The sequence below is a fragment of the Homo sapiens genome, chromosome 1, assembly GCF_000001405.40.
Source record: "Homo sapiens chromosome 1, GRCh38.p14 Primary Assembly".
In the NCBI taxonomy this organism is placed as follows: Eukaryota; Metazoa; Chordata; class Mammalia; order Primates; family Hominidae; genus Homo; species Homo sapiens.
In genome coordinates, this window is record NC_000001.11 from 20040266 (window position 1) to 20063875 (window position 23610).

The following is a 23610-nucleotide window of genomic DNA, read 5'->3' on the forward strand; positions in this document are numbered from 1 at the left end:
TTTTTGTACAGATAGTTGTTCAAGATGATGCAAAGGGATAAGCAATGGAGAGTCTTATTCAGCCATCTTACTTATGTGCATCTCCTCATCATTTTGCTTTTGTTTTTGTTTTAGCACATCCTACTTTCTGACACCACAAAATGCCCCAAATTTATCTTCTGTCTTTCAAAGCCCTGGAATTAGCCACTTGTTTTCTGAGATGTCATGGTTCTTTTCTTTTTCCTTTTTCTCAAAATGACATTTAGAAACAAATATCTGGGAACTAAGAGTGCTCATTGCTAGTGGGATGTCATTGCTTCAAAGCTGACAAATACACACACACACACACACACACACACACAAACACTCACACTCATTTACTCAAATGATGAATTCATACTGATAACTCCAATTCCAATCCAAGATATCAACAAGTATTTTGTAAAAGGAAAATAAATCTTGAGGCCCCAAAATCACTAAGCTAAAGGGAAAAGTTAAGATGGGAACTGCTCAGGGCAAACTTGCCTCCCATTCTATTCAGAGTCACCCATCTGCTCACTGAGATAAATGTGTATCTGATTGCATCCTTTGGAGAGGCTAATCAGAAACTCAAAGGAATACAACGATTTGTCTCTTATCTACCTAAGACCTGGAAGCCCCCTACCCGCTTCAAGTTGTCCTGCCTTTCTGGACCGAGCCAGTGTTCATCTTACATGTGTTGATTGATGTCTCATGTTTCCCTAAAATGTATAAAAACAAACTGTGCTCTGACTACCTTGGGCACATATCATCAGTACCTCCTGAGGCTGTGTCATGGGTGTGTGTCCTCAACCTTGGCAAAATAAACTTTCTAAATTAACTGAAACCTGTCTCAGATATTCAGCATTTACATTTTGGCAACCACAAAGGGATTCTGAGTGGAGGTACCCCTGATCTTTGACGAATCTCCTATAGGTGCTTGGTATCAGCATAAGCTAAGTTTATGGCCCAAATCAATAGAACAATTTGCTGAGGTCTGGGAGCACCCCCTCCAGAGTGTCACCTGTGTCTGTGTGAAGAGACCACCAAACAGACTTTGTGTGAGAAATAAAGCTTTTTAATCACCTAGCTGCAGACAGGCTGAGTCTGAAAAGAGAGTAAAGGGAGATAGGGGTGGGGCAGTTTTATAGGATTTGGATAGGTAGTGGAAAATCTATTTTAAGTATTTTAGTTTCCTGACTGTGGGCATGTGAGTAAAGTCAATTTGCCAATCCTGGGCAGGGGCAAATCTCTGAGCTTGATGTCTAGGGAAGGGAGGGGGCCTGAACAATCCCTGGGGAGTAGTAGACTAGCAGATAGAACACTGAGAAGTGATTTCCTTGAGGATAGATTTCCATGATGGAAAGGAAATGAGAGGTTCTAAGAGACAGGCTAGTGGCTTATAACCTACATGGAAGAGGTTATGAAATGATGACAGAATAGAATGAGCCTGTGAGGCTGGAAGGAGATATTTTCCTTGGTCTAAGAACCATTTGCCTTGTATGGGAAGAGATCGATTGGTGGAAGTTTCAGTGGGGGAGTAGGTGGGAGTGACCAAAGAGAAGGAGAAAAACTGGCAGTGAGGGACAGAAGTTGGAACGCTAGGTGCTTCTTTAGCTACCTTATCAGCATAAGCATTGGCCTGAGCAATGGGATCTGATGTCTTTTGATGGCCCTTGCAGTGAATGACTCCAGCTTCCTTTGGAAGTAAAGCAGCCTTGAGAAGAGTTTTTATTAAAGAGGCATTAATGATAGAGGATCCTTGCGTAGTGAGGAAACCTCTTTCAGCCCATATAACAGCATGGTGGTGTAGGATATAGGAGGCATATTTAGAGTCAGTATGAATATTGACGTGTAGTCCTTTTGCAAGAGTGAGGGCCTGAGTTAAGGCAATGAGTTTGGCTTGCTGAGAGGTAGTGGATGGGGACAGAATGGTAGCCTCAATGATAGATGTGAAAGATACTATAGCATAACCTGCCTATGCTGGTGAGTGGAGATTAGGCCTGGTGGAACTGCCATTAGTAAACCAAGTGTGATCAGGGTGAGGAACAGGAAAGAAGGAAATATGGGGAAATGGAGTGAATGTCAGGTGGATCAGAGAGATACAGCCGTGGGGGTCAGGTGTGGTATTAGGAATAATGTGGGGGCCAGCCTAAAACAGTAATGTCAAGTTGTTTGGACAGAAAGGCTACAGGGTGCGGTCCCAGCTCTTGTGTAGGAATTTTGACCGCACAGCCCTGCACTTTGTCTGTGTGTAATGAAAAGCGTTGGGATGAGTTAGGGAGATCTAGGGTGGGAGCAGATTTTAGGGCTGTTTTTAAGGAATGGAAAGAAGAATGGTGAAAGGATTTAGGATCTATGGGGTCAGCTAGGTTTACTTTGTGAGTTTATGTAATGGTTTAGTCAGGTTGGCAAAACCAGGTATCCAAAGGTGAAAGTACCTGACCATGCCTAGGAAGGAAAGCAGCTGTTACTTTGTAGAAGGGGTTGGGGTTTGGGAGATTAGCCGGACATGATCAGCAGGGAGACCACGTGTGTTTTTATTAAGAATTATGCTGAGATAGGTAATGGATGAGGAAGAAATTTGGGCTTTGGAGGGAGATACGCAATATTCTTTTGAGAATAGATGTTGGAGGAGCAGGAGGGTGTCCTGTTGGGAAGATTTGTAGGAGGGGCTATAAAGTAGAAGGTTGTCAAAATATTCAATAAGGTGAGAAGCAGACGGACGGAAAGAAAGTAAATCATGAGAAAGGGCTTGACTGAAGTAATGGGGGCTGTTCCTGAAGCCTTGCAGCAATACAGCCTAGGTATGTTGTTGAGACTGATGGGTGTCAGGGTCAGTCCAAGTAAAAGCAAAGAGGGGCTGGGATGAGGGGTGTAGGGGAATAATGGAAAAAGCACCTTTAAGATCAAGAATGGAATAGTGAGTTGTGGAGGGAGGTATTGAGGACAAAAGAGTGTACCGGTTGGGCACCACAGGGTGGATAGGCAAAACAATTTGGTTGATAAGGTGGAGATCCTGAACTTACCCGTAGGACTTGTCCAGTTTTTGGACAGGTAAAATGGGGGAATTGTAAAGAGAGTTTATAGGCTTTAGGAGGCCATGCTGTAACAGGCAATTGATAACAGGATTTAATCCTTTTAAAGCCTGCTGTGGGATGGAATATTGGCATTGAGTGGGGTAAGGGTGATTAGGTTTTAATGGGTTAGTAATGGGTGTGTGATTGGTTGCCAGGGAGGGAGTAGAGGTGTCCCATATCTGTGGGTTAAGGTAGTGGGATATGAGAGGAAGATGCAAAGGAGGCTTTGGGTTGGGAAGAAGGGTGGCAATGAGCTGTGGCTGTAGTCCAGGAATAGTCAGGGAAGCAGATAATTTGGTTAAAATGTCTCAGCCTAATAAGGGAACAGGGCAGGTAGGGATAACTAAAAAAGAGTGCATAAAAGAATGTTGTCCAAGTTGGCACAAGAGTGGGGGAGTTTTAAGGGATTTTGAAGCTTGGCCGTCAATACCCACAACAGTTATGGGGGCAAGGGAAACAGCCCCTTGAAAAGAAGGTAATGTGGAGAGGGTAGCCCCCATATCAATTAAGCAGGGGACGGACTTACCCTCCACTGTGAGAGTTACCTGAAGCTAGGCATGCGTGATGGTCCAGGGGGCTTTCGAGGTGATTGGGCAGTGTAAGTCTTCAGCCACTAAGCTGAGCAGATCTGGGAAGGAGTCAGTCAGTCAGAGAACTTTGGGCCAGAGCTTTAGGGGCTCTAGGAGTGGCTGCTGGGTGAGCTGGGCAGTCTGATTTCCAGTGGGTCCCTGCACAGATGGGACACTGCTTGGGAGGAATCCTGGGCTGTGAGCATTCCTTGGCCCAGTGGCCAGATTTCTGGCCCTTGAAGCAAGATCCTGATGGAGGAGGTCCTGTAGGAATGCTTGACCACTGCAGCTTAGGCATGTGTGGCTTAGGGATTTTGAAGTTCTTGTGTGCTGGAGGTATGGCTGGGTTTTTTCTCACAGCAGAGGCAAGTAATTGTAACTCAGAAATGCATTACTGTCTAGCTGCCTCCTCTCTATTATTGTACACCTTGAAGGCAAGGATGATTAATTCCTGTTGTGGGGGGGGTTTGAGGTCTGGATTCTAATTTTTGAAGTTGTATTTAATGTCTGGAGCAGATTAGGTAATAAAATGCATGTTGAGAATAAGACAGCCTTCTGGTCCCTCTGGGTCCAAGGCTGTAAAGCGTCTAAGGGTTGTTGCCAAACAAGCCATGGACTGGGTTGGGTTTTTATATTTGATGAAAAAGAGCCTAAATGCTAACTGATTTGGGAGAGGTTGGATAAAGAAAAAGGAGCATTAACCTTGACTATGCCTTTAGCTCCAGCCACCTCTTTAAGAGGAAATTGTTGGGCAGGTGGGGGAGGGCTAGTCACGGAATGAAACTGTAAGCCAGACTGGGTGTGAGGAGGGGAGGTGATAGAAGGATTATAGGATGGAGGAGCGGAGGCTGAGGAAGAATTGGAGCCTGATTCAGCCTGGCAGGGTGCGATCTGAGGTGGAGCAGTCTAGGGAGGAGGGGAGAGGTCAGATGGGTCGGTAGAAAAGGAAGATAGAAAAGACTTAGCAGCGTTTGGGGTTGGGACTGAGGGGACAGAGGGGAGGGAAAGGAGGATTTGGGATGGGTCACATTGGGAACAGAGACTAGGGTGGGACTGATGTGTAAAAGAATGCCTGGATATCAGGCATCTCAGACCATGTGCCCATTTTACGACAAGAATTATCTAGATCTTGTAGGATGGAGAAATTGAAAGTGCCATTTTCTGGTTATTTGGAACCATTGTTGAGTTTGTATTGGGGTCAAGCAGTATTGCAGAAGAAAATAAGGCATTTAGGTTTTAGGTCAGGTGTGAGTTGAAGAGGTTTTAAGTGCTTGAGAACACAGGATAAGGGAGAAACAGGAGGAATGGAGGGTGGAAAGTTGCCCATAGTGAAGGAGGCAAGCCAGAGAAAAGAGAGGGTAGAGACACGGAGAGAAGTGGTTGGTGGTGGTACTTGCCCCCCTGGGGAGGTGGTGCTTGCTACCAAGGTGAAAGATCAAGGCAAGCATCCCTGCGGTGATCAGACACCTCTGAAATGTGGGTGAATAATCAGGCAGGCGTCACCACAGTGATTAAACATGAAGGGAAGACTGTCTTCCCAAGTTCGTGACTGGCACTGGAGTTTTGGGTTCATGGATAAAACATATCTCCTCTGTCTCTACCAGAAAAGGAAAGGAACTGAAATTAAGAGAAGGGAGAGATTGAAGGGTGGCACCAAAATTGAAAGGAGAAAGAGGTTGAGGGATAGTGACAGAGGTTGGAGAAGAGAGTAAAAAGAGGCTGCTTACCCGATTTAAAATGTGAGAAGTTCCTTGGGCTGGTTGGTCTGAGGACCCAAGGTCATAGGTGGATCTTTCTCATGGAGCAAACAGCAGGAGGACAGGGGATTGATCTCCCAGTGGAGGCTCCCCTATCCAAGTCTGAGCACTAAATGTCATGCGTGTCCATGTGCAGGCTGCACCCAGATGAAATAAACAGCTTTATTGCTCACACAAAGCCTGTCTGATGGTTTCTTCACACGGATGCGTGTGACACAGAGAATCTCTGATCTCCCAAAATTTGGTGGAGATCTAAAGTTTATTTTGCTGTACAACTCTACCCACCCCATCCTTTTTTTTTGAGTTTTACTTGCTTCCAACAAGGAAAGCAAGATTTCCTGTTTCCATGATGTTGGAAGGCAGGTAACTCCTTTATGGAATTTGAGCTCACTCCCAGCAGGCAGGATGAGTTTGAGTTTCTTCCTGCTTCTAGGATGGTAGAGGACAGTCTTCAGCCTGAGACCCATCCCTAGGTAAGTAGCTGAATTTGGGTTTTGTCTTATCTAAAGTCTAACAACCAGCTTGTCTTAATTTCTTTTTACCATTAGAGTGCTCAGCGATCATATTGTTGGTTTTTTGTTGTTGTTGTTTCTTCCAGTCTTTTGCCAATCAGATTTGACCAACTCTACCTGACTTGGTTAAATCCAAGTGAGAATTCCAAATTATGGGTAACAAAGCCTCTCTAATTTGGTTAAAATTCCTTGCAACTGCAAAAGAGGAAAAAACAAACAAACAAAAATCCCCAAAACCATGTGCTTGGTTTCTGTGTTTACTTCCTATCTTAAAAAAAGTTCTTTTACTTTTTTTCCACCCTATATCTCCTTCCCTCTCTTGCCATCTGCAGCATCAAAAATCTAGAAAAGGCTTTTAATGACTTGAACCCCTTTAAATAATTCAGAACAAAGGCACCAATCACCCCTTTTGGGATGTTCTTCTTTCTTTGTGGAATTTCGAGAGTCATGGGCAGATTCTTCTTAGGTCTAAAGCTCTGTTTTCCTGTATTGAATGAGCTGACCTTTTTGGCTTTGGGGGTACCAGAGATTACTTTGTACTGTGAGAGGATTTGACCTTGGCATGTGTTATGGCAAATGGGAGCTACAAAGTAGGGGTGGCTGAGTACAGTTTACAGAAAGTGGTCTTGGCTGTTGTTTCTTATTTTCTCCTAGGAAGTTGTTGTTTAAGGATCCTAATTCTAGTTTGGAGATACATTCTAAAGGGTCTTCTCTATTTACTTTTTCTCCCAAAATTAATCTTGAATGAGCTTGTCTGTGTGCATTTGTGTGAGAAACTGTTGTTTTCATAGGTAAATGAGAGACTGAGTTTTCTCAGCTCTGAAGAGAAAGGTCATTTTGCTCCTCCCAGCCAAAAGGTGCCCCTGAGTAACCAGGGGCCTTGTGGGAGTGTCTGGGGGTTTAACCCCCTGTGATTTGCAGCAGCCCTGCAGGGAAATCCTCAACAACAATTAATTTGAAAGAATGAGGCTCATCCAGGAAACTCATATAAGGGCTGATTGCCCAGCGTTTTGAGCCCTCTCTGAAGTCCTAGACCTCTGGAGAGAGAAACTGAGACATGTAAGAGGGTGGAAACAACTCAGTGGTGACACACTGTGGAGTCCTGCCCACAAGCAAGCACACATTGATCCACCACACAAAAACCCTAAGCCACAGCTCAGTTCCTCCTTTTAGGAAAAAAAAAAAAAGTGGGAAACAAATGATGTAAGAATGAGGAGAAAACAAAGAGAATGACTCCTCTGTGAGCACTCTGTAGGTTTTATGGCATCTCTACTTGCCAGAGTTTATGTAAAATGAAAGTAGTATGGTCTTTGTGCACATTTACATTGAGAAAAAGAGCCCTAAGGTCAACCTGCAAAGTATAGAGTTCATAAGTTCTCTTTTTTTCTCTATTTTATTTTCTGCCTGCTTTAAATCTGCTGTTATTTTTCTATTAAGATAAAAACCACTGTTTGGATCCAACAGGTGTTTTGTTTGCAAGCTGGTGAATTTGTGTTTATCTCATGGCTAAAGTTCTGAAGTAAAAGCTATAGGATCTTTGTGTGTGTGTGTGTGTGTGTGTGTGTGTGTGTGTGTGTATGTGTATATATTTAAAAGGCATTTATAATTTCTATAATTTGATGTTTAATTGGCAATTCAATCCATTTTAATTTTCCTGTAACATGCTAGACTTTTTCTCTCTGTACCTAATGATGTAAATTTTACTATTTGATTTTCACCTGATTTGTTTCCTTTGATATGCAAATTTAAGATGACTTAGCTGACAACTGCCTAGGGTTACCAATAATTTATACAGGTTATTGAAACAGGTTTTCAAGAATTTTAAAGTCTGAGAGGGAAAAAAGAGGTTTTTATGACTCTATAAGATGTACTTCTATTGGCATGCCTAACACATCTATCTATTTATGTGTTGTGTACACAATGTTTCACTACTGAAAATATATAAAAGCTCTAATTAATTGGCTTAAGAAAATAAAAGCTCTTGAATCAAATAGTTTATCAGGAAAAAAGAAAAGAGTAGTCAAATGCTTTTTCAAGTTTAATAACTTAAGTAAAATCTTTAATAAATAAGATAGCCTTAAAATTGTTGGTAAAGTATAATAATATTAGAAATGTCTTAAGAATTTCCAGCATACATTTTTGTTTGTGCTTATGAATCAAGAAATTTTATACATATCCCTACCAAATACTATAAGGCATCAAAATTTGGAATAGGGGTTACAAAACTCTAAACCAAGCCCCAATCAGAATGATCTTTGCTTGTGTAATTTCTAATAAATAAGACATTGATATTTGTTTAATGAAACTAGCTACATCTTGAATTTAGTAAGATTACCATAACTTCTAATCTTGTGGCTTTAGGCAGTCTAGTCCACAGACAGTAAGGTTTGTTTTGGGAAAGGACTGTTATCATCTTTATTTCAAAGCTAAACTATAAACTAAGTTCCTCCAAAAGTTAGTTTGGCCTATGCCCAGGTATGAACAAGAACAGCTTGGAGGTTTAAAAGCAAGATAGAGTCAGTTAGGTCAGATCTTCTTCACTGGGTCTGTTATAATTTTGCAGTGGTGGTTCCATAAGTTTAAATGATGACTATGACAGTTTTCATAAACAATCTAGGCAAATGATTAAAATAAAATAATTAGGTAAGTGTAATGGACTGAATACTTGTAGACAAATGTCACAATTTAGAATCTAAAGTTATATTAAATTAAGTAATAGATATTTCATTATTTGGGTATTTTCCAATAAAAATATATTCGTAGGAAGACATTCTTTCTAAAAAAGTTGTGTTCTTTTTAAAAATGTTGAACAATTTTTGTCGAATTCAAAGCTTATTTAAAGGTTATATATAAAACAAAGTAAAAGGAACAAGGAAATAAGAGAGGTTTAAGGAAAGTTATAAAAATAAAGAGGGTTTTTTCTGGTAAGAAAGCTTAAAGATACATAATTTTATATGAGAAAGAATCTTGTATGGTAAATTTAGTCCTAGAATAAAATGACTGGTTATTTAAGAAAGAGGGATGTTCAGGACAAACCAGAAAGTCCAGGCATATCATGAATGGTCTGTGTAAGTCACAATAAGAGGATTTATTTTAAAAAGCTTTTACACGATCAAGTTGTCTATAATTAAAGGAACATTATAATCTTTCTAGAGACTGAGCTTGATGTAAAAAACTCATACACTAAATAATTGGTTAGAACAATGAAATTTTCTTAAGGAATTGATTTATTCTTAATAAATTATAAGAGCTTTTAATTTTTTTTAACCCTGATATGATTTGGCTCTGTGTCCCCACCCAAATCTCACCTTGAATTGTAGTGATCCCCACATATCATGGGAAGGACACAGTGGGAGGTTATTGAATCATGAGGGTGGGTTTTTCCCTTGCTGTTCTCATGATAGTGAATAAGACTCACAAAACCTGATGGTTTTATAAAGGGGAGTTCCCCTGCACATGTTATGTGCTCTTGCCTGCTGCCATGTCCCTTTGCTCTTCCTTGGTCTTCTGCCATGATTGTGAGGCCTCCCCAGCCATATGGAACTGTGAGTCCATTAAACCTCTTTCCTTTATAAATTACCCAGTCTCAGGTATGTCTTTATTGCCAGCATGAGAACAGATGAATACAAACCCAAAGTTCAACTTTTATTACATCTCACCATTTTTGGTTTTCTCTCTCCTTTTAAAGGGTGTGAAATAGTAACGCTCTCCTTCAACTTATTTTCAGCTCACATAAGTTTTTTCCTCAAGTTTTATTTGTTGTGGCCTAATGCTAACAATGTTTTCTTAAAGGTCTAAACGAAATGTTTTCTTCCAACATAATATCCTGTGAAGTGCAGAAGGTCTTTTCTTTTGCCTTTTGGTAACTGGCCTAATAGATTTTAAGGTTTATTGAAACAATTCCTATGTATTATTATTAAGTTTTGGTTTGCTTAGGAAAAGGCAGATAAAATTTTTTAAAATTAAGGTTATTATATTCATGTATCTTTCTGTATGTGCTTTTAAGTATTTGTGACATTGAGTTACAGGGCTTTGACTCCTGGGTCTAAAAAGGACACCAAGTCCTGCTAGATCTTAAACACTGTCAGTAATTAAAGCCTCATCTTCAGGCCCAGTAGAAGATGCCAATCAAAATAAACTGCATTCTTAGACACAGGGCTAGAAATTAAAGCTAATCAACTCCTCAAGGCCCAGAGACTATCATGGAAGAGGTGGGCATGTGAGATTGTAAGGGCCAATTTTGAGAGATAAAATAAGTTCAGTTTCTCTATAAGTTAATCATTAATGTCAAAGGCACACTGATGCAAGACCAGCATATGGGACCCTGTGTCAGACTAACAAGATCTTCTTGAAGCATTAACCAACTTTTTAATAAAGGTTATAAAAGGCTTATGGAAATTTTATGGTCAAGATTAAAACTTTATAGATTGTAAAATTTTGAAAAACAAATTTAATTGGCTTCATGCTGTTTTATTAGGGTTTATAGTTTGGAAAATGAAGTCTCCTTTCTCAAATAATAAAGGTTTTTGACTTTTTTTTGGGAAATACTTGAGTTATCACTTTGGTTAAATGAATGACTTATTTTACAATGACTTCTGATATCAAGTGTTTTAAAGCTTTGATATTTTACAAACTTTCCAAAATCAAATTATAAATTCTGTCTTTTTCTGACCTAATTAATTCTTTAAGATATTAGATTCCCTGAAGTCCAAAAATGACATAATTTTGCTTATTTGTATAAAAATTATACAGGAAATATTGTTAAATATGAAATTGTGTTTGGTTTTCTTTGGGTTATGTTTATATAAATATGTTATTGGTATGTGTTCCGAAATCATGGGAAACTTCTATAATTCTGATTGACTTAGTGTATATTATCTATAGTAATTATGTTATGTTAATTAGTTATGATCATTTAAAATAGTTATGTTAAATTATTGTGTGCCACAGAGGTAATAAATTCCCTTGTCAATTGTGTCTTTGACTATGGCTGCCCTGAAACTTTTTGTCATCCACAGACAATTGTCTTGTTTAGGTCCTCTTTAGAAGATGCTATTATAATCAGTTATGAAACTCTAACAGGTGCTCTTAAATACAAGTTTCTGATAACTTTGGATATTGTGACATCAGAATAGAAGAAAAACTGTCATGACTCATGGAGAACTGAAATGTTCATGAATATGAAGCAGAACAGGAATTAACTACACAGACTGAACTAATAGAAGACTGAAGTAATCTTTTTGACTTTTTGCTTAAAATGTTGCTGATCCTTTGTTTTTTCAGAGTCAAGGACAATTTTCTTTTGAGCTATTAACAGCTTTTAACAATTTAGTATACTCCTATGGAACAAAATTTAGAACATATTTGTTTATCTCCACCTGATTTCTCCAGAATTTGGAAACTATTTGTGGGTATTCATAACTTATGGCAATACAGTTAATTGCATAAGTGCAGTAAGAATCTGTTTTCATTTATAATAGGACACAATTGGAGAAACTGGTTATTTTGCCAAGGCTTTGACTGGAATGGCATGCTTTCCTTTAAGGAATCAAACTTGAGTTATGGAGCCAATAAAAGCCCCTTGGGAAAACTGGCCTCATACCTAGTCTATACAGTCCCTGTACAGGGTTCCTGACCTGAGGTAAGTAAAGAATGACAGTTTCTGACAGGCCCAGGAGCCCCAAGTTTATCTTGGAACCTCAAGGGGAGAGGAATTCACCCAATTCAAGTATTTGATGGTAAAAATCTATGGCTGGGCTTGGCTTTAACAAAGTTTTATCTGAGATTCCTTCTATGGAACAAAGTTCCATCAAAGCCAATTTAAAAGCCTATGTAAAAAATAATTATTCTTGCTGCTGCACTGTGTACAAATAATCAGTCCAAGTATAATAAAGCAAATCAGTCCTACCATGATTTTTCTTTATTAAAAATGGGAAACTGCCGAGATCGCGCCACTGCACTCCAGCCTGGGCGACAGAGCGAGACTCCATCTCAAAAAAAAAAAAAAAAAAAAAATGGGAAACTGGAGAATGAAAAATTATGTTTCAAAAAATATAGTACACCTGTTTTTACCTTGGATTGAATTATAATTTTTCTTGGCTACAAGTCTTTCAAATAATGTTTTCCATTTTTTTCCTTCTTTATTCCTCCATTTTTCCTAATTTGGAGTCACTGAAAACTAAGCTGTGCTTTTGTAAAGCTCTGTGAACTGAAGATGGACAATTCAAACTTCAGAAGAAAATAACAGCAACCTATTTACATACATAAGCCACTTTCATACCTGATGCATGGACCTCAGAGTAATGTGGCCTATCTTGATTTTCCAGGATTGTTCTTTCATTTGTTGTTGTTTTTCTCCCTTCCTCCCCGTATTTTCTCTTCAGAGGACATGAGACTTCACAACCTGCAAAAAATGAACTTTTGTAATAACTTCGGACCTACTCATCCAGGAATCCATGAGTAATCAGACAAAACCTGAGACTAGAGACTCATTTTCTTCTAAAATTCTTTCTCCAAACTATTTTTAAAAAGAAAAGGGGGAAATGTGAAAGGAAAGTAAATCTTGTGGCCCCCAAATCACTAAGCTAAAGGGAAAAGTCAAGCTTGGAACTGCTCAGGGCAAATTTGCCTCCCATTCTATTCAAAGTCACCCCCTGCCCACTAAGATAAATGCATATCTGATTGCCTCCTTTAGAGAGGCTAATGCGAAACTCAAAAGAATGCCACCATCTGTCTGTTATCTACCTATGACCTGGAAGCCCCCTCCCCACTTCAAATTGTCCTGCCTTTTCTTTGGGTAGTCCCACCCTTCTGGACCAAACCAATGTTCATCTTACCTATGTTGATTGATGTCTTATGTCTCCCTAAAATGTATAAAACCAAACTGTGCTCTGACCACCTTAGCCTGATGTCATCAGGGCCTCCTGAGGCTGTGTCGTGGATGTGTGTCATCAATCTTGGCAAAATAAACTTTCTAAATTAACTGAGACCTGTCTCAGATATTCAGGTTTCACAATTCTCAAGCCTTCTCTTTTTCAATTTATAACTCTTTTATCTGACAGGAATTTTTAAATTTACAACATTTTTACTTATTTGTTCAATTGTAGTACAAATAAAGAAGTTTCAAAACTGATAATCCATACCTCTGTGAGAAACAAATTTACTAACTAGCAGGTAGTGTTTGTGTACATTTCTTTTTATCTTTAGCCTTATGGTATACCATAAAAGTACTGTTTTCTGAAGTTATTTAGGTCAGTCTTTTAGTTGTTTTCCTGCCTCCCTTAAGTGTGATTATGAAATTTATTTTTCATATAGTTATATTTCTTTGTGATTGTATTCTATTTTGGGTTCTATTCACATCCTAGTTGATTTTAATTATGTATTACTTTGCGGGGGGGGGGGTGATATGCAAAACTTTCCCTTGTGAAAAAAGATGAAAGTCATACTAAAAGGAATACTCAGAAGAGTGTTGTTTCTCACTTGTCTCTACTATTCTCTGTCCATTTTCTTCTTCTTTCCAGCTAATTCCCTTCTCCTCCTGCAGATTTAGTTATCTTTTGTTAATGGCACCTCTGTGCAGTACCTCTGTTACCATTAATGCAGCAATGTTGACATATTATCAAACAAAGTTCACAGTTTAATTAGGGTTGACTCTTTGTGTTGTATATTCCATGGATTTTGACAAATGAATAAGGATGTGTTTCCAGTTTTATAGTACCATACTACACAAACTAATTTACAGTATTAGTTATCTATTGCTGTGTAATAAGTTTTCAGAAACTTAAAATTTAAAACAAAACAAGCAGCTTAGAACCACTTAGATTTGTTATCTCACAAGACTGCAAACAAGATGCTGTTTGGACCATGTTCCTATGTGAAGATCATAACCCTCCACTTGGTCCTCCTCCATGCTCCTCCATGGCCTCAACTCCTAGAGGTCCTCTCCATAGGCAGTTACAACATGACAGTTACCTTCTTCAAGGCCACCAGGAGAATTTCTCAATTCAATCCGCTAAGGCAGAGTCTTCTATAATGTAATATAATCAAGTGACTGATTACCCCACATCCTTTGCTATATTCCATTAGTTAGAAGCAATTCAGAGGTTCTTCCTGCACTAAAGGAGGAAGGATTATTCAAAGGTGAACTCACTGGAGGTCCCTCTAGGGTGTGTCTGTCATGGTAGCTGCATTCATTTTTGGTTGGTTCTTCCTGAAATTCTTTTGCATAAATGTGTAGATACACATATATTTTCTTTTAGCCTCTTCTTTCTTATATGATGGATACGAGACCATAGATCATTTTGTACTTTGCTATTTTCACCTAGCAGTAGATGTGGGAAATCATTTCATATAAAGAGATGGAGATCATTTTTCTTTTTTTTTTCAAAATATGTTTAATGTTTTCCTCCCAACTTGGAGAGGTCTTTTCTGGTGGCTGTCTCAGTGGGGTCTAAGCCCCTCTTTCATTTTTACAGTCCTCCATTGTTGGGATGTACTATAATTTTTCCAACCATTCTCCCAGGATAGACATTTAGGGTTTTTCTGCTGTTTCACAATTACACATATTGCTTTAGTCGGTGACCTGTACATATGTATTTTCATAATATTGCAGTTATATCTTCTGGACAGATTCCTAGAAGTGGGATTACTGGCTCAAAAGGTAAGTGCATACGTAGTTTTGTTAGGTGATACCAAATTCCCCTACAGAATAGTTGAACTAGCTCACATTCTCACTAGTAATGTATGAGACTGCCTTTTCCACTATGCCCTCCCCAACAGAATGTTTTATTAGACTTTCCATTTTGCAGGCATTCCTCTTATAATGAAAAAATAATTTTTCCAAGTCATTGCTGAAATCCTAATAAAAAAATCACTGTTCCTCCAACAAATATTTATTGAGGACCTACTCAATAATCTAGGTACTATGTGGGAATGCAACTGTGAGCAAAACAAAAACAGTCCCTTTCCTGATGGCATTTCAATCTGGCAACACAGAGAAACGTATGCCAGATGATGAAACCCCCACACAGTCACAGAATATTGTGTGCTGGATTGTTCCATGATCCATTCAGTTAATCTGGGAACTATGTCTCCCAGAATTCTCTTTCCCGTATGGTTCTAGATTAGAGTGGGCCAACAGGTAAATTTGCCCAAGATTTTTAGGGGCGGAAATAAATCAGTGACCTTTATTCTCTGCAAGTCCTTGTAGCCAGAATTCTGGACAGACTGGTGCTTGGGTTTCTGGAGTGGTTTCAATTGTTCTCATTCTCCTCTGCTTTGTGTCCAGCTTTTCTTACTGCCCACTGGTCTTGATGACCAACTACAGCTCTGGCCCACCACCTGATGTTTGGCTGCAGGACCATAGAGCTGGTAGCTGCACTGGGATAACCCCTTCTAGTAGACCTCTCCAGAAGCTCCCATTTGCCTCTTACTCTGGGAATTGGAGACAGTTTCTCAGATTTCCCTGTAGATCCAACTTGTCCACCGACCCAGTGCTTTGGGACTAGCAGTGACCCTTCTTTGGTTGTCTCACTCTGTCTTTTAGATTTTTGCTTCCCTAGCTCCTCTTAAAGTTGCAGGAGGTCTATTTCCCATAATAAATCTCTCCTTCTTTAATCTTCATAATGTTTCTGCTTCCCTGACTGAACCCTGACCTATACGTGTAGTAAGTGCAGTGGAGAACTAAGTGCTGCAACAGCATGTTGAACAGAAGGTCCTCAACTAGTTTGGGGATCAGAGAAGGTTCTCTAGGAAGATGACATTTTATCTGAGGTCTGCAGGGAGTTTAGGAGTTATCTGGGTAAGTATTTTCTGCATCTTGGCTCACTCAACATTTATTCCAGCCTCCTGGTATCTGTCCCTAAATTCCAGAGGCTAAAAGGCTAAACACTGCATTTCCCTTTCCCTCTTTCCCCTTCTTTTAAAAGATTTTACTTTTTAGAGCTGCGAGGTTCAAAGCAAAATTGAGCTGAAAGTACAAATGTTTCCCACATACCCCTTCCACCCAAAATACACATCCTCTTGCATCATCAGCATCCTGCCCCACTGCGGTAGCTCCCAATGCCTTCCTTCTAAAGATCCACTCAGAGTGTGGCAGTCTTCCCAATGTCCCACTCCCTCAAGGGCAGGTGTTCCTCCTGGCTGCATCTAGTTGGCCATCTTGCCCCCCTATCCTAGGCTCAGTCTTTGGAACTCAATGAAAGTTCCTTTTTATTCCTAGTTTGCTGAGAGTTTTAAATCATGAATAAATGCTGGACTTTGTAAAATGCCTTTTCTGTATCTATTGCTACGATTGTGTTGTTTTTCTTCTTTAGGCTGTCGATGTGACAGAATACATTAATTGATTTTAAAATGTTGGATCAGCCTTGTATGTGTGGAATAAATCTGACTTGGTTGTGGTGTGTAATTCTTTTTGGGCATTATTGGATTCAGTTTGCTAATATTTTGTTGAGGACTTTTGCATTTATGTTTTTAAGATATGGTGGTGTGTAATTTTCCTTTCTTATAATATCTTTGTCTAGTTTTGGTGTTAGAATAATACTGGCCTCCTAGAATGAGTTAGGGAGTATTCATTCTGCTTCTACCTTCTGGAAGAGATTGTACAGAATTAATATGATTTTTTCCTTAAATATTGGTGGAATTTACCAGTGAAACTATCTGGGCCTAATAGTTTCTATTTTAGAAGGTTATTAATTATTGATTCAATTTATTTAATAGATGCTGGTCTATTCAAATGATCTATTTCTTCTTATGTGAATTTTGGCTAATTGGATCTTTCAAGGAATTGGTCCATTTCATCTAGGCTATCAAATTTCTGAGCATGGAGTTGTTTATAATATTACTTTTATTCCTTTAATGTCCATGGAATCAGTGGTGATGGCCCCTCATTTATTTATAATACTAGTTTTTTGTGTATTCTCTCTTTTTTCTTAGTTGCCTGGCTAGAGATTTATAATTTTGCTGATATTTTCAAAGAATCAACTTTTGGTGTCATTGCTTTTCTCTATTGATGTCCTATTTTCAATTTCATTGATTTCTACTCTAATTTTTGTTATTTCTTTTCTTCTACTTACTTTGGACTTAATTTGCTCTCCTTTTTTTATTTCATAAAGTAGAAGCTTAGATTATTGGTTTTAGGTCTTTTTTTTTTTCTAATGTGTGTGTTCAATGCTATACATTTTCCTTTAAACACTGTTGTCACTGCATCCCATAAATTTTTTGGGGGGTAATTTCTGCTTTGCAGAAATTAACATAGCTACTCCAGCTTTCTTTTGATTAGTATTAGTATGGTATATATTTCTCCTTCCCTTTACTTTTAATCTATATATGTCTTTATATTTAAAGAGTCTCGCTCTGTCACCCAGGCTGGAGTGCAGTGGCACAATCTTGGCTCACTGCAACGTCCACCTCCTGGGTTCAAGCGATTCTCCTGCCTCAGCCTCCCAAGTAGCTGGGACTACAGGCATGTGCCACCACACCCAGCTAATTTTTGTATTTTTAGTAGAGATGGGGTTTCACCATGTTGGCCAGGCTGGTCTCAAACTCCTGACCTCAGGTGATTCACCTGCCTTGACCTCTCAAAGTGCTGGGATTACAGGCATGAGCCACCGCACCCTACTGCATCTTACAAATTTTGGTGTTATATTTTCATTTTAATTTAGTTCAAAATATTTTTAAATTCCTCTTGAGATTTTTTTTTTGACCCACGTGTTATTTAGAAGTGTGTTGTTTAATCTCCAATTATTCTGAGATTTTCTAGCTATCTTATGTTACTGATTTCTAGTTTAATTCCATTGTGGTCTAAAAGCATGCATTGTATGATTTCTATTCTTTTACACTTGTTAAGGTATGTTTTATGGCATGGAATGTGGTCTATCTTGGTGAGTGTTCCACATGAACTTGAGAAGAATGTGTATTCTACTGTTGTTGGGGAGAAGTATTCTATAAATGTCATTTAGATCCAGCTGTTAGAAGTGCTGTTCAGTTCAACTATGTCCTTACTGACTTTCTGCTTGCTGGCTCTGTTCATTACTGAGAGAGGGTGGTTATGTCTCCAACTATAATAGTGGCTTTGTCTATTTCTCCTGCAGTCCTCTCAGTTTTTGCCTCACGTATTTTGACACTCCGTTGTGAGGGGCATACACATTAAGGACTGTTATGTCTTCTTGAAAAATCGACCTCTTCATCATTATGTAAATGCCCCTCTTTATTCCGGATAATTTTCCTTACTCTGAAATCTGCTTTGCAGAAATTAACATAGCTACTCCAGCTTTCTTTTGATTAGTATTAGTAGGGTATATCTTTCTCCTTCCCTTTACTTTTAATCTATATATGTCTTTATATTTAAAGTGAACTTGTAGACAACATGCCTGGTCTCTTTTGCAGCTAGGTTTCTGAATGAGATTCAGGATTTGTAAATAAGATACAATCATATGAGCCTTGAATTTAGAACTGATTTAATGGCTGAGTGAGTCAAGCCTGCAGGAAGTGGTTTTGCCAGTACAGTGTGTAGGAGGGGTGTTAAATTCTGGGGCTGCAGCTCCAGCAGCAGCTTCTCGATTTGACAAGCTGGTTTATTGATTGTGTCAGGGCCAACAGCTTCCTCTGCAGCCCAGTCTTGAGGCTGAAGATATTAGTAGCCAAGTGAGGAATGCCTTTATTAGGGTGTGCAAAATTGGTTCAACTAAACTGAATGTTAAAGATGATCACATGGGCCAGGTGCAGTGGCTCATGCCTGTAATCCCAGCACTTTGGGAGGCCGAGATGGGAGGATCACTTGAAGTCAGGAGTTCAAGACCAACCTGGCCAACATGGCGAAACTCCATCTCTGCCAGAAAGACAAAAATTAGCCAGGCATGGTGGTGTGCACCTGTAATCCCAGCTACTCAGGAGGCTGAGGTGAGAGAATCACCCAGACTGGGTGATAGAGTGAGACTGTCTCAAAAAAAAAAAAAAAAAAAAGGGCTCACATGACCGAGTGTGGTGGCTCATGCCTATAATCCCAGCACTTTGAGAGACCAAGGCAGGAGGATCGCTTGAGCTCAGAAGTTCAACACAAGCCTTGTCAACATAGCAAGACCTATTCTCTACTAAAAAATATTAGCTGGGTGTGGTGGCACATGCCTGTAGTGCCAGCTACATGGGAAGCTCAAGTGGGAGGATAGCTTGAGCCTAGGACATCATGGCTGCAGTGAGCCCTGATTGCCTCACTCCAGCCTGGGTGACAGAGTGAGGTCCTGTCTAAAAAAAAAAAGAGAGAGAGAGAAAGACCATATGGCCATTTTAGGGTCTTCATGCTACTGAACAATAGGCTCAAAGGAGGACCACTTAGTTGGAAGTGAAGTACAAATATGGGAAGAGGGTTATGCATCAGTCAGATAAATGAAAGGATTATTAACTGTGGAGGTTATCTATGAACTGGCTTGCTCAACATCTATTTCATCTCCTTCTAGTGTACCTTTCTACTCTGCAGAGGCTGGAAAGGCAAAAATGATGGCTAAGGCTTCCTTGCAGGTAAGCTTTCATCCATTTTAAGATTCTGCCTATCAGATATATTTGCTTGGGAATTGAAATCAGAATTGAGTGAGTGGGAAAAGAGGCAGGACGTAAAGCATGGATTTGCTGGTATAGGTTGTCATAGCAGAGGTGTGACTCTGGGGATAGAAGTGGGAACAACAGCTTCATGATTTAATGAGCAGCTCCTTGTTGTGGTAGAAGCAGCCGTTCCCTTAACAGATCAGTTCTGGGATGTGACTCTGGGAGTCTTTTTCTGGAAACTCAGTCTAGGACCTGCTTTTCCAGCACCCCCAAGGATTCTGGAGAATACTGTAACCACTAGGGCTGCACACAAGGAGGAAGTGTGATGTTGAGGAAGTGAGAAAAGCCCAGCCCAGTGGAGCACAAAGGGTGAAACATAGGTTGGAGGTCAGCAGGGGCCAGATTGCTATAGGCCACTGACCTTCTTGGCTCAACCTACGGCACTGTAAAGCCATGCTTTTGGAGGTAGAACACTGTTAACCAGCCCTTATCTTCAATCAGTTCACTATTTACTGACTTTCTTTTTTCTTCTTTTTTTTTTTTTTTTTTTTTTTTGAGACAGAGTCTCACTCTGTCACCCAGGCTGGAGTGCAGTGGTGCAATCTTGGCTCACTGCAACCTCTGCCTCCCAGATTCAAGCGATTCTCCTGCCTCAGCCTCCCAAGTAGCTGGGATTATAGGCATGCGCCACCACGCTAGGCTATTTTTGTATTTTTAGTAGAGATGGGGTTTCATCATGTTGATCAGGCTGGTCTGAAACTCCTGACCTCAGGTGATCTGCCTACCTCGGCCTCTCAAAGTGCTGGTATTACAGACGTGAGCCACCATGCCCAGCCAGTTCAGTGTTTTCAACAGAAAGACATTAGATTGCAGTGGTCAGTTTAGGCTAGATGTAAAGAGCACCTCCTTTTAGCAGGTGGTTTTAAGACTCAAAGGAAACAAGTGGCTAGTGTTAGAATGACTTTTAGGAGGAGGCCAACAGCCCACTTAGGGCTACATAGAGCAAGTCTTTCTTTCTTTTCTTTTTTTTTTTTTGAGATGGAGTTTTGGTCTTGTTGCCCAGGCTGGAGTGCAATGGCGCACCTCTGCCTCCCAGTTTCAAGCGATTCTCCTGCCTCAGACCCCTGAGTAGCTGGGATTACAGGCATGAGCCACCATGCCCAGCTAATTTTGTATTTTTGGTAGAGATGGGATTTTTCCATGTTGGTCAGGCTGGTCTCAAACTCCCGACCTCAGGTGATCCACCTGCCTTGGCCTCCCAAAGTGCCGGGATTACAGGCATGAGCCATCGCACCCGGCCTAGAGCAAGTCTTTTGTTGCAGCAGGAAACTGGACTGGATGGCCCTTCATGGACCAGGCAGCCTGGTGATTCCGGACCTCCTCCCAGATTGGCCTCATCTCTCCATTGCTCTCACCTCTCTGTGGGATCTGACCCAGGGATACAAATGAATCTACCTCTTCATCTTTTCCAGAGAGCATACTTCATGCTGTTTTCTACTTTAAGAATTGTTGCCCCAGAATAGCCATCTCACATCCACACCACCCTGGCCTGACTGCCCCACTCATATTATAAATCTCTCAGCACATACCAGGCATGGTGGCTCACACCTCTAATCCCAGCGCTTTGGGAGGCTGAGGCAGGAGGATCACTTGAGCTCAGGAGTTCGAGATCAGCTTGGGCAACCTAGGGAGACCGCATCTTTAGAAACAAAATTAAAAATAAGCTGGATATGATGGCACACATCTGTAGTCCCAACTACTCAGGAGGCTGAGGTGGGAGGATTGCTTGAGCCTAGGAGGTTGAAGCTGCAGTGAGCCGTGATTGCACCACTGCACTCCAGCCTGGGCAACAGAGTAAGACCCTGTCTCCAAAAAAAAAAAAAAAAAAAAAAAATCTAAGCACTATTATGAAAGCAGATTTCTCCTTTGTGCTTGAAATAAACAGGGCCTAAAAGAATCCCTCTTTCCATATATCTTACTCCAAAGGCCTTCCCCTGTGGGTAACCCACCTCCTATCCTTCCTTCAGCAATAATCCAGCCCTCTGCCTTTTTATAAACTGTTGTACATCTTTGCATATTTGTATTTGTGTATCTTATCTGTCCCCCAAACAAGGGGCTTCTCAAAGCCTGGGGGTCTCTAAGGATAGAGGCTAACACAGTTCGGATGTTTGTCCCCACCCAGATCTCATGTTGAAATGTAATTCCCAATATTGGAGGTGGAGCCTGGTGGGAGGTGTTCGGATCATGGAGGCAGATCCCTCAAGAATGGCTTGGGCCATCCCTTTGGTGATGAGTGACCTCTCACTCTGAGATCTCTTGCTTGTTCCTCTTTTCTCCATGTGATGTGCCTGCTCCCTCTCCACCTTCCACTATGACTAAGCTTCCTGAGGCCTCCCTAGAAGCCGAGCATACGCTGGCATCATGCTTTCTGTAAAGCCTGCAGAACCATGAGGCCATTAAACCTCTTTTCTTTATAAACTACCCAGTCTTAGGTATTTCCTTATAGCAGTGCAAGAATGGCCTAATACAGAGGCTGTCTCTTCCTTCAGACTGAGAACCCCTGGAGAATACGAAATGGTCTTTCCCATCAGACAGGAAACTCCCAGCATCTCATACTCCTGTCTCTCCACATCCCACGCCAGAAAGATGCAAGAAACTTCAGTTTAAAACCAATGCGGAGTTCCCAGACACAGAAGATGAGCAGGGACATCCTCTGAGAGGAAAACTCTGGTGGCTTCAGGGGAATCAAAGCAAGTCCCCACTTCTGTCCTCTCCTGAGCTGAAAACTCAGAGCAGGCTGGGTGTGGCAGCTCATGCCTGTAATCCTAGCACTTTGGGAGGCCAAAGTGGGAGGATCAGTTGAGCTCAGGAGTTTCAGACCAGCCTGGGCAACATAGGGAAACCTCGTTAAGTATTAAAACAAACAAACAAACAAACCACCAAAATTCAGAGGGGACAGGGGAGGTGGCACACTGCTGTCCTTCTTTTTCCCCTACCATGTAGCACAGGGCCTGTGGAATGGAAGGGGCGCTGTCAATGTGTGTTGGGTGATGGACTGGATGAATAAATGGTACATCTGTGTGCCTAGGGGGCCCATTCCAGACACCAGGTAGTAAGGCAGCCAGATGAGTTCTAGGCCTGGCCTTCGAGAGACTCTGAGATGATGGACAAGCTGCTTGTCTGGGCCCCAGTCAACTCACCACTGGACAGATCTCTGAGAGATCTGTGGCCCCAAGTTTCTAGAGCCCAGGCTTTACTACTGAGAAGATCCATGGACGTGGGGAAGCACCTACTCATAGTCCCTCAGAGAGTCTGTGTTTGGTTTACATTGAAGCCAGGCATAGTGCCATGTGCCTGTAGTTCTAGCTACTCTGGAGGGTGAGGTGGGAGGATGGGAGCCCGGGAGTTCAAGGCTGCAGTGAGCTATGATCACGCCACTGTACTCTAGCCCAGGCAACAGAGTGAGACCACCTCCCTAAAAAAATAAAAATGAAGATGAAAATGAAAAAAACCAAAAGAGTTTGATTTTCTCACAACAAATAGGTGCCCTGGTTAGTGATGGCTGCCCATTCCATCATTTTTTCAGTCGACTTTCTGAGTCTATCAAACTGCAGTAAATTCTCCTTTGGCCTCAGGATGGAGCCAGGATCTTCTCCAGTCAAATGTCTCTGAGGCCAGCTGGGGTCAGTGGAAACTGTGGGGAGAGGGATGGGGAAGAGCAGGTTCTATCTTTGCTCACATCCTGGAGTTGTTTCTGACCTGCCCAGGAGAGGCTGCCCCTCCAGAACTAGACTCTTCCTTGGCTTTAAGATGTGAAGTCGAGCAGCTGGAAGGACAGACACCTCATCTGACCACTGTTCTATGGACCAAAGGCAGGATGAGCATGGTAGGTGCAGAGGCTGCAGTTGGAAACTTGAAACCCTTGCCTGGGAAATGAAGAGCAAGGCCCTGATTTGGAATGAATATGTTTAAAATAAAAATAATTACACAGAGTTGGAGGAGCTCTTAACACAGATGGAGCTCAATCATCCCAATGTATTGATGGAGAAACAGGCTCAGCAAGTTCATGGCAGAAATGGGGCTCCAATCCTCTGTGAGGCTTTGCCCGGTGCCCTAGCTATCAGGGAACACGAAATCTGTCCAGTGCAACCACCTTCTC

General features: G+C 40.9%; 1 protein-coding gene across 16 annotated transcripts in view, besides 3 other annotated features; it reads left to right on the forward strand.

The window, feature by feature from the left end:
* Window positions 1-23610, forward strand: part of PLA2G5 (phospholipase A2 group V) — a 63504-nt gene that overhangs the window by 11858 nt on the left and 28036 nt on the right. For 10 of the 16 annotated variants that reach the window (XM_047422635.1, XM_011541589.4, XM_047422637.1 and 7 more), the window contains exon 2: window positions 19367-19427. The exons of 2 other annotated variants lie outside the window; for them this stretch is intronic. The gene's annotated coding sequence lies outside the window, so the exon portion shown is untranslated. Of the gene's footprint in view, window positions 1-14526; window positions 14575-19366; window positions 19428-23218; window positions 23338-23610 lie in introns of all 16 variants that reach the window. 4 more of the 16 variants (XM_047422616.1, XM_047422645.1, XM_047422608.1 and 1 more) reach the window with 3 other exon arrangements.
* Window positions 6821-6990: an enhancer, noted in NCBI's record as "experimental_1609 CRE fragment used in MPRA reporter constructs". NCBI's record gives its function as "activates a minimal promoter by MPRAs in K562 erythroleukemia cells, with activity observed for both the introgressed and non-introgressed 1:20373664 variant alleles {active_cell/tissue: K562}" and the evidence as "EXISTENCE:reporter gene assay evidence [ECO:0000049][PMID:34662402]".
* Window positions 23031-23200: an enhancer, noted in NCBI's record as "experimental_1624 CRE fragment used in MPRA reporter constructs". NCBI's record gives its function as "activates a minimal promoter by MPRAs in K562 erythroleukemia cells, with activity observed for both the introgressed and non-introgressed 1:20389874 or rs12028351 variant alleles {active_cell/tissue: K562}" and the evidence as "EXISTENCE:reporter gene assay evidence [ECO:0000049][PMID:34662402]".
* Window position 23116: a transcriptional cis regulatory region, noted in NCBI's record as "Neanderthal adaptively introgressed variant 1:20389874 (GRCh37/hg19 assembly coordinates) or rs12028351 in the experimental_1624 CRE". NCBI's record gives its function as "modulates activity of the experimental_1624 enhancer by MPRAs in K562 erythroleukemia cells {active_cell/tissue: K562}" and the evidence as "EXISTENCE:reporter gene assay evidence [ECO:0000049][PMID:34662402]".